This window comes from Homo sapiens, chromosome 14 (genome assembly GCF_000001405.40).
Source record: "Homo sapiens chromosome 14, GRCh38.p14 Primary Assembly".
Taxonomy (NCBI): Eukaryota; Metazoa; Chordata; class Mammalia; order Primates; family Hominidae; genus Homo; species Homo sapiens.
Window position 1 is genome coordinate 56,925,263 of NC_000014.9, and position 7,831 is coordinate 56,933,093.

Here is a 7,831-nt window from a genome sequence, read left to right on the forward strand (position 1 = left end):
CTTGTTTCTTCATCCCAGTAAATAAGTATGCATAGATTTTTTTTTATACATTTATCAGGTTTTTTTCTAGCTGGCACCCCAAACAGTGCCCAGGCAGCATGATACTATGCATGAGTCTGTTTTGATTTGACACTATTGTATTCTTTTCCTCTCTATAAAATTAATTCCTGTATAGCGTCTGAATAGGTTTTTAAAAAAATCAATTAGCTTTTACTTGGAAAATCTTTTCCTGTCTTATATAGAATAATTTTTTTTTCATCTGTCAAGGGGGTTATTAATAAATGCCACCAGTGGGGTTAGAACATTCTCTGGTGTTTGCTTTAGGGGAACAAGGGGATTGTCGGAAATCCTAGCCAAACTGAACCATAATTAGAGAGAAAATGTTAGCAATTAGAACTATACGTTAGGCTTTAATTTACTACCACGGAAAAGTCAAGGGTGGCATTTCTATTCCATTTTTAGGTGCAGCCAGATGGATTGCTCATTACAGGGTAATTTCCACCGACCCTCTGCACTTCTCAGGGTAACAAAGCAGCTGACAGTGCTGTGCAGCCCAGTGGCTCAGATTTTATTTTATTTTTTGTGGAGGTGGAGAGTGGGGTAGGAGGTTGAGTAGTTATCAATTTCCTACATAGTCACTGACATTACTGGGAATCTTTTTACATGCTGAATAATTTTAGGCCAAGAAAGCAGTTTGGTAACACAAGTACATCAATATAATTTACTTTTCTACCTTGCCCTACATGTGTTGGTTATACTAGCATATTTTAGCAATCTTCACATTTTAAAGCTCCCCTCTTCAGTGTTTCTAATTTTGGTTTTTCCTAGTAACCAAAATGAGCATTTTAAGTTGCTGTTAAGAAAAGAAACTACACACAGCGTCTCACACCAAAGTAATATAGCTGTAATCTAATTCTAATCTAATTCCAGTAAAGCTTTGAAGGCCACGAGGTGATATATTTTTGACGATGCGGGATACACTTTATAATTTTTTCTTTTTATCTCACAATCAAATGCCATTTCTTTGTTACATGTCCTATCCAATTTTTTTTTTAATAAAATGAATTTGGTGCCAACATTGTAATGTAAGTGTATTTACTTCAGGGTTGCAACATTTTCATGGGGGAAATAAATCTACTTACTTTATATTATCATGAGTCAGAATCAGTCACAGTTTCCTTTGATTATGAAAATATAGTTGGAAGTTCCTTTATTATATTTTATTTTTTTATTGAGATAAAATACAGAGAACGTAAAATTTACCATTTTAACTGTTTTTAGGTATACAATTCAGTGGTGTTAGTACAGTCACATTGCTGTGCAAACAGCATCACCATCCATCTTCAGAACTTTTTCATCTTCCCCAACTGAAATGTTGTATCCATTAAACAATAACTCCCCATTCTCCCCGTCTCCTTAGGGAAGTACCAGGTAAAACAGGACTCATACAATATGTGGCCTTTTGTGCCTGGTTTATTTCACTTGCATAGTGTCATCAGGGTTTATCTATGTTTTCAGTATTGCCTTCCCTTTTAAGGCTGAATAATATTCCTTTATATATGTATCATAAAGGGAAAGTACCTTTATTTATTTATTTATTTTTGAGACACAGTTTCGCTCTTGTTGTCCAGGCTGGAGTGCAATGGCGCAATCTCGGCTCACTACAACCTCTGCCTCCTGGGTTCAAGCGATTCTCTTGTCTCAGCCTCCGGAGTAGCTGGGATTACAAGCATACGCCACTATGCCTGGCTCATTTTGTATTTTTAGTAGAGATGGGGCTTTCACAATGTTGGCCAGGCTGGTCTCGAACTCCTGACCTCAGGTGATCCACCTGCCTCTGCCTCCCAAAGTGCTGGGATTACAGGCATGAGCCACTGTGCCTGGCTGAAAGGTACCTTTATTTTAAGTACTTTACACATATTTCCTAAGGCTGTAGCTCCATACTCAAGTCTTGTTTGTACTCTGCTATCTGTAGCTATTATCTGTTTAACAAAGCCTCGCTGGCCTCACCACGGTTGATGTTGCTAATAAGAAGACTTGGCATGTTTTGCCCCATGACGAGTTTGTCAGAGGCAGTTCAGACAATGAACAAAGGAAAATATCCAATATTTCCATTAAAAATACCAGTTAGAGAGCAACCATGTAAAACTAATTTTTGAGTCATGACATGCAGAGAAAAGTAGTTAATTGTATTTTCAGGTAAATGTTAAGACAACATTACTAAAAACATTTGCATTCATAATTCATTACAGTTATCAATGGTTGAAAAATTCAAACAACTAAGCATCTTAAATTTTCTCTTTAAGGATCAGAAAACCAGAAATATTTTCCCTGCATTCTATATTATATCAGACTTTAGCCAAAATTTTTCGTGCTTCTAATGGAAAAATCATCAACACAAAAATCCCGCACTTTTGTCAATTGAAGATATTACGGTTCCATAACAGTGTGACAAGGTATTTATTCCTCAGAACATCCATATTATGTAAACAAAACATTAGTGAACGCTTGGTTTTTAAATGTTTAGATGCTAAAACTTTTATATTAGACTACTCTGCCTGAAGTTAAAGTTAGCCTTTCATAGGCTAAGTTACTAAAAAAAACTCTTTCCAAGAAAGGAATGAGAAAATTTTATAGAAGAAAATTTAGAATTATGGTTTAACAATCTGTTTAATATTTTTTTTTATTCATTAGAAGGGGCAAACCTGTAACTCTTCTTTTAAAAATAGTTCTATCTCAAAGATATCAAGCCGGGCGCGGTGGCTCACGCCTGTAATCCCAGCACTTTGGGAGGCTGAGGCGGGCGGATCACGAAGTCAGGAGATCGAGACCATCCTGGCTAACATGGTGAAACCCCGTCTGTACTAAAAATACAAAAAAATTAGCTGGGCGTGGTGGTGGGCGCCTGTAGTCCCAGCTACTCGCGAGGCTGAGGCAGGAGAATGGCGTGAACCCGGGAGGCGGAGTTTGCAGTGAGCTGAGATCGCGCCACTGCACTCCAGAGTGGGCGACAGAGCGAGACTCCGTCTCAAAAAAAAAAAAAAAAATCAGCTTTGTGCTCCTACCCTTTCTGACCCTAGTCTTTCTTTTTCGTCACAGACTGTATTCTCTTCCCCGCTTCCTCCCCACAATTTCCTTCTTGCTTTCCACAATCATTTATTAAATGAGAGCTTAGTATGTGGCAGGTGGGACATTTGGAGATTCAGAGATTAATATGACATGTTTACTGCCTTGGAGGAGCCCCCTGTAGGTACAGGTGTGTCTGGTAGGTTTTTAATTGTGTGTCCTCTCTAATCTACTGCAACTAAGTTCATGGAGTACTGAGTTGGTAAGAAAGGGTACCAAGATCTATTAGTGATTTCTACCTACGGCCTGGCCTGTAGACAGAATAGTTGACACACGTGTCGTGTCTTTGCCAACCCTTAGTCCAAGACAGCCACAGCTTTTTCCAACTCCATTTTTTTTTCTATCCGGTCTCTAAAGTTGAGAACTTTAAAGGATGCTTTAACTATCACTCTAGAACACTTCACCTTATATTTCCACCAAGTGCCTACCCAATCAATCCCTAAATCATGTTCACCATTACCAATTAATTTTTCTCTCTCTTTTTTTTCTAGGCTACCAAGTCATGATGGAGAAAAACGTGAAACCACTGATTCAGTTCATTGCAAATTCATTCTACCAAACCTTACCTGGCTCTTGTTGCTGCTTGGTAGTCCTTTTATTAATCTCTTGGAGACTCACTGATTAGTTTCCTCCATTGATCATCTAAAAGCTTTTTTCATATTTTTGAAACTCACTGTTTGATCTCCCCTTCCCCTTGTACTCGGAAGATGATCTTGCTTTCTGCTTTACTGAGAAGTTCAAGGTTATCTGCAATCTCCTTCAACTTTTCACTCCTATCCTATTTTCTATTTTCCTTCATCTCTTGCTTCCTCTGCTCTTTTGTTTTAGGGAAAGAAACAGTCCCTTTATTTCTAGGTTGAACTCAACTTCTGCAGGACTTTTGTCTGTAAATTGTACTTCTTTTTTTTTGAGACAGAGTCTCGCTCTGTCACCCAGGCTGGAGTGCAGTGGCATGATCTCAGGTCACTGCAACCTCTACCTCCCAGGTTAAAGCAATTCTCCTGCCTCAGCTTCCTGAGTAGCTGGGATTACAGGCGCCACTCCCGGCTAAATTTTTGTATTTTTAGTAGAGACGGGGTTTGGCTATGTTGGCCAGGCTGGTCTCAAATTCCTGACTTCAGGTGATGCACCCACCTCCGCCCGCCTCGGCCTCCCAAAGTGCTGGCATTACAGATGTGAGCCACCGTGCCCAGCTAAATTGTACCTTCTGTTCCTTAAAAATCCTAAAATCCCTTGTTGTAGGTTCTTTAATTTTGAGAAAGTAATAAATAAAGCACAGAGATTAATAAGACAAATATGCTTGTTTGCAAAACCCAGAATTGACTGTTAATATTATCATACACTGGCTTATCCTTTTTCTAATAAAAAAGTTTCAGATAAAGTTGAAGTTCCCCTTGACCTACCTTTTCAGTCCTGTTGCCTGCATTCCCTCCCTCAAAGCAACCCTATATAATATCGGCATGTATTCTTTGAGGTCATTAAAGAATACATTTATGTGCCCATATACATAATAATGTGTGTGATTGTTTAGTGGGTAATTTAAGAATTTACATATTTAATATTCACAGTCTATTTTGTGATGTTTCTGTCTTCTATCCATGCTAGTATATGTAGAGCTATTTGTAAGTTCCCTGAGGGCAGGGACTTTGTCTTGCTCATTGCTGAATCTCCAGCACCTAGAATAGCATTTGGCATATAGCAAACATTCAATCTTTCTTCCTTCCTTCCTTCCTTCCTTCCTTCCTTCCTTCTTTCCTTCCTTCCTTTCTTTCTCTCTCTCTTTTTCTTTCTTTCTTTCTTTCTTTTCTTTCTTTCTCTCTCTTTCTCTCTCCCTCTCTCCCTCTCTCCTTTCCTTTCTCTTTCTTTCTTTCTTTATTCTTCCTTTTTTTTTGTTGACAGGATCTCACTCTGTCTCCCAGGCTGGAGTGCATTGGCACCATCACTGCTCACTGCAACCTCCTCCTTCCAGGCTCAAGCAATCCTCCCATTTCAGCCTCCCAAGTGGCTGGGACTACAGGAGTGCACCACCTTGCCTGGATAATTTTTTGTATTTTTTTTTTGGAGAGACAGGGTTTCAGCATGTTGCCCAGACTGGTCTCAAACTCCTTTGCTCAAGTGTTCCTCCTGCCTTGGCCTCCCAAAGTGCTGGGACTATAGATGTGAGCCACTATGCCAGCCAATATATGTATATATTTCTTAAGTGAGTTAATATCATTCATTTTTAACTGCTGTGTAGTAATCAACTGTATGAATATTCCACATATCACATTTTATTTATTCATTCTCCCACCAGTAGACAATGTGTGCTTTCCTAATTTCCATGCTTCTTATTACAAATATTGTTGTGGAACAGCCTTGTACAAGTCTCCTGTGCCTATGTTTGAGTTGTATCAGAGTTGGAATTGCTGCTTGTCACAAATAAACTTTAAACTAGATTTAGCCAAATTGCTTTTCAAAGTTTTCTGGTTTTAAAACATGTTCAAGAATTTCTCTCCATATTTTTTTCCCTTTGAGTGTTCTATACCCTGAAACAATAGTTTTATTCTTTCTATCAGTGTTTTAACTTTTCAAGATGATAATCTATGGCCTTAGGATCTTCATGCCTGATGCTTGAAAGAACTAACCTTTGACTTTTAAGTGATATTAGCCAACCTCCCCTTATAAAGATAATTAATGTATAAATACATATGTGTATCTGAGAAAACTATCACTTTGATCATAAAATTATTTAAACAAAATTTGACTACTATAATGTTGCTTTTATGTAACTAATTGCAAACCATTTTGTTCTATAACTACTTAACTATATATCTTTATAAATAAATTTTAAGATCTTCAAGGGCATAGTTTGTGTCTTACTCAACTTCTTATGTCCATAGCACCTAGAACGTAATAAATGGCACATGTATATGGAAAAATTATAACAATTTATATTTACAATTTCTTTTCACTTCATAATAAAAAGTATTTAATTTTTTTTAAGAAGTAAATTTCAGAAGATCATCTTAAGTGGATGTTCTGTACTTTAGCTGGTGGTCTTCAGTCTGCCACACATGTAACCCTCAGAGGTATGGAAGATGTTTCAAGGAGTACCCAGTCATACAAAGTTTTCAGGGAGCCAGTTTGCAGTTGATCCTCAACTTCCATGTTTACCCTTTCACACATTTACTGATTTTCTTTTTTCTTTTTCTAGCGGTACGATTCCATTCATAGAAAGTACAAAACTACGTAAAACTAATGTATGCTGTTACAAATCAGGATGATGATACCTTTGTAAGAAGTGGTAGTGATGGGAAGGGCTTCTGAGGCGCTGGTAGTGTCTATTTCCTGGCCAAGATGTATTCAACTGTACAAAATTCATCAAGCTGTTTATTTGTTATATGGATGTGCATATTAAACTTTGATAATGAGTTTAAAATGGTTTGCTAGAAATCAGAAATAGAAAACTTTAAGTATTAGATATCTTTGTTTTATAAGCCACGGGGGAAACTGATACTCTTATACATGACTGGTAGGAATTAAAAATGGTGCAGCCTTTATAGAGGGGATTTGGCAAACTGATCAAAATTACAAATTTGTTTACCATTTACCCCTTGACCCAAGAATCCCAACTGCGGAAATGTGTCCTAAAGATATGCCTGCATGTGGAACCAATGTATATTTACGGTGATCCATTGCAGCATTATTTATAATGGCAGAACACTGGGAACAACCATATATTCATCAGCAGCTACTTAAACTCTGGTACATCCACACAGTAGAATATGATGGAACTGTTAAAAAGAAGGAAGAAGTGCTGGGTGTGGTGGCTCATGCCTATAATCCCAGCACTTTGGGAGGCTGAGGCAGGTGGATCACGAGGTCAAGAGATCGAGACCATCCTGGCCAACATGGTGAAACTCCATCTCTACTAAAAATACAAAAATTAGCCAGGCATGGTGGTGGGCACCTGTAGTCCCAGCTACTCCGGAGGCTGAAGCAGGAGAATCACTTGAACCTGGGAGGCGGAGGTTGCAGTGAGCTGAGATCGCACCACTGTACTCCAACAGAGTGAGACTCAGCCTCAAAAAAAAAAAAAAAAAAAAAAAAAGAAGGAAGAAATTCTCTATGTGTTGATGTGGAAAAATCTTTTGGGTATATTGTTAAGATAAAAAAAAATAAGGTATAGAACAATGTATATAAGATGACCTTTTTATGAGAAAATGTGAAAAACAATACTTATTTTTATAAAGATAATAGTAAATATTTATTTTATAAAGATATAATTGTTTTATTTTTATAAAGAAATCCTGGAAGGATAGCAAAAAAAAAAAAATCTAATAATAATGGTTCCTTAAAGAGGTAAGTGTAGGGTGACCAACCATTCTGTTTTGGCTGGGACCATCCCAGTTTGTTTGTTTGTTTGTTTGTTTTGTTTTGTTTTGTTTTGTTTGTTTTGAGACAGGATCTCACTATATTTTCCAGGCTGGAGTGCAGTGAAGCAATTATAGCTCATTGCAGCCTTGAACTCCTAGGCTCCAACAATCCTCTGACCTCAGCCTCCCAAGTAGTTGGGACTACAGGTACCACACCTGGCTTTTGTCCCAGTTTTAACACTAAAAGTCCTGCATCCCTGGCATCAGGACCATTGGTCACCATGGCAAAGGAGAGAGACACAGAGATGGGAGTAACATCTGTCAAGGCGTACCTTTTTGTATCATTTTTA

The 7,831-nt window shown here is 37.9% G+C and overlaps 1 long non-coding RNA gene across 1 annotated transcript in view; it reads left to right on the forward strand.

Annotated features, from left to right (window-relative positions):
- The window catches only part of OTX2-AS1 (OTX2 antisense RNA 1), a 119,303-nt gene extending 113,257 nt beyond the window's left edge, over positions 1 to 6,046 (forward strand). Inside the window, exon 4 of the long non-coding RNA NR_029385.2 lies at positions 3,618 to 6,046. This is a non-coding gene — a long non-coding RNA (OTX2 antisense RNA 1). The remainder of the gene's footprint in view (positions 1 to 3,617) is intronic.
- The last annotated feature ends 1,785 nt before the right edge of the window (positions 6,047 to 7,831 follow it).